The 2706-nt window shown below is 46.2% G+C and overlaps 3 annotated features.

Moving 5' to 3' along the window:
• Positions 394-483: a silencer, noted in NCBI's record as "silent region_17999". NCBI's record gives its function as "represses an Ori minimal core promoter by ATAC-STARR-seq in GM12878 lymphoblastoid cells {active_cell/tissue: GM12878}" and the evidence as "EXISTENCE:reporter gene assay evidence [ECO:0000049][PMID:35858748]".
• Positions 2130-2274: an enhancer, noted in NCBI's record as "145 bp 7:22141595 sequence used in MPRA reporter constructs". NCBI's record gives its function as "activates a minimal TATA-containing promoter with rs73075633 allelic activity by MPRAs in UACC903 melanoma cells {active_cell/tissue: UACC903}" and the evidence as "EXISTENCE:reporter gene assay evidence [ECO:0000049][PMID:36423637]".
• Position 2202: a transcriptional cis regulatory region, noted in NCBI's record as "rs73075633 or 7:22141595 MPRA-significant variant associated with a GWAS melanoma risk locus at 7p15.3". NCBI's record gives its function as "allelic transcriptional activity by MPRAs in UACC903 melanoma cells {active_cell/tissue: UACC903}" and the evidence as "EXISTENCE:reporter gene assay evidence [ECO:0000049][PMID:36423637]".

The raw sequence follows: 2706 nt of genomic DNA, 5'->3' as shown, positions 1-2706 counted from the left end.
AACCCGGGAGGCGGAGCTTGCAGTGAGCCAAGGTCGTGCCACTGCACTCCAGCGTGGGCAACAGAGCGAGACTCCGTCTCAAAAAAAAAAAAAAAAGAAAGAAAGTATATTTAATGATTGCATTAGTAAAAAAGTGAATATAATCCAAGAGTATTATATTCACTTTTTTTCTTCTGATTTTAAAGTAAATGAAAACACTTTTGTGGGTCCCCAAGATTATCATGCCTTCAGGGCCTGAAAGACACACCAGGCTCTTTTCTTATTGAGGATTCAGCGCCATCTGGTGGTTCTCATCTCGCAAGGGTGCCCAGCCACTTCCGCTCTGCAGAAAAAGGTTCATCGGCAAAATTTTCATTCAGAGAATACTGACTAAGCCTAACCGCTCTGATTACTGCTTGACTCAGATCCAAACTGCCCGACACTGGGCTTTGAGGCTGTCTGATTGGCAGGAGCTAAAGTGAGACTTCAAGAAGACAACGAGAGCCCAGTAGTGACCACAAATCAGCTGAGGAAAGCCAACAGTCCAACTTTTTCATCAGATTGTTAGTGCAGTAATTTTCCTCATTTTTGTGCTTGAGGCAACATATCGAAGAGAATATAAAAAGAAGACAAGTTTAAGAAAGCATCTTTTTAAAATCCAAAAAAAAATCACAGTTTATGAATATTCATTAATCATTTCCTGCTCTCCTCTTGCCTGTACTTCATTCTATACCTGCAGATGTCACCCACGTGGGTCCATCCTCCAAGAAGCTGGAGGCTTGCCCGTGTGTCCCGTAGTACAGAATGTGGGGGTACATGGGCCACTACCACTGGGGTAATGTTCCCTGCGTCCCAAAACCGGGATTCAGGAGCTCTTCCTTTGAAGTCATGAATTTATAAAAGGTGTTTAATAATCGTTGCTACCATACATATTGTTATGTATGAATTGTGTCCTCCAAAATCCATATGTTGAGGTCCTAACCCGCAGCACCTCAGAAAGTGATCTTATTTGGAAACAAGGCCTTTGCAGATGTAATTAGTGAAGTAAAGGTGAGGTCGTTCTGGAGCTGAGTAGGGTTCCTAATCCAATATGACCGGTGTTCTTTTAAGAAGGGAAAATTTGGCCAGGCACAGTGGCTCACACCTGTAATCCCAGCACTTTGGGAGGCCGACGCAGGCAGATCACGAGGTCAGGAGATCGAGACCATCCTGGCTAACATGGTGAAACCCCGTCTCTACTAAAAATACAAAAAATTACCCAGGCGTGGTGGCGGGCGCCTGTAATCCCAGCTACTCAGGAGGCTGAGGTAGGAGAACGGCATGAACCCGGGAGGTGGAGCTTGAAGTAAGCTGAGATTGCGCCACTGCACTCCAGTCTGGGCGACGGAGCGAGACTCCGTCTAAAAAAAAAAAAGAAGGGAAAATTTGAAGATAGATGCATAGAGGGATGATGCTGTGAAGACGCAGGGAGAAGACCACCATCCACAGGCCAAGGAGAGTGGCCCAGAACAAACCCTTCACTCAGAGCTCTCAGAAGGAGCCAGGCCTCTGACACCTTCATCTCACACTTTTAGCCTCCAGAGTTGTGAGATGATACATTTCTGTAGTTTGAGCCACCTAGTTTGTGGTAGTTTGTGACAGCAGCCCTGGAAAATGAACTGAGATTTGTGGTGGTTTGCTGGCAATCTTTGGTGCTCCTTGGCATGTAGAAGCATCACCGTGTGCATGCTGCAGTGGGTCCACTATTAGCCCAGAAAACCCCCCGGAAGACTGCTCTGGCGGAGGACCTGAAGAACACACCTTTCAGCAAAGTGATGAAGAATGCACTGGTGTTGGGACCGTCCTCCATAGCCAAGGGATGATGATAAAATAGAACATCACAGAACTGAATTCACAGACAGCAGTGAGGCCAACAGGTGCCCCAAACAATGGAGAAGGTGGTTGTGGTCAGTCATCACAAAAGCTAGGTGGTTACTAATACAGTGACAGCAGAGTCTGAACATTAATGGAGACAGGTGACAGGACACAGTAACCCTAGGGACAGAATGAATGGACAGCTATCAAAGGTACTGACCAACATGTACAATCAAACAAAATCGAAGATGGTTAAGGGCAGTCATCCCAGTGAAAAGGTCCTCATCCTTTACCCAGTTGCTAGACCCGAACAAGTTTTCAAAGTCAGATCCCACCAACTGACAGAGAGGTCGAGTTTCCAGGATGAAGACCCTGTGACAACAAGTCAAGCGCACGTGACAACAATTCCACAGCCTTCCTCAAAGAGATTTGCTCCATTTACTCAGGTAAACATGCACTGGGGGCAGGGAAAAACCCAAACATGTCAAGGACTGGTAGACGCAGGGTCCAAATTGGCACTGAGAGGCAAAGCTCCAGAGCTTCATCCTTAGCCCCAAGTTAGAGGTGGGATATGGAGGGCGGGAAATCAATGGACTCCTGGCCCAGGGCTGGCTCACAGTAGATCCACTGGGTCTGTGGGCCCACCGGGTAGCCATTTTCCTCACTGTTGATTATGTGATTGGAATTGCTATCCTTTATTTTATTTATTTTTTTAACTTTAATTTCTGGGATACAAGTGCAGAATGTGTAGGTTTGTTACATAGGTATATGTGTGTCATGGTGGTTTGATGCACCTATCAACCCATCATCTAGGTTTTAAGCCCCTCATGCATTAGCTATTTGCCCTAATGCTCTCTCTTCTCTCACCTCCCA

Source organism: Homo sapiens, chromosome 7 (assembly GCF_000001405.40).
Source record: "Homo sapiens chromosome 7, GRCh38.p14 Primary Assembly".
Classification (NCBI taxonomy): Eukaryota; Metazoa; Chordata; class Mammalia; order Primates; family Hominidae; genus Homo; species Homo sapiens.
This window is presented reverse-complemented; position numbering and strand designations above follow the sequence as displayed.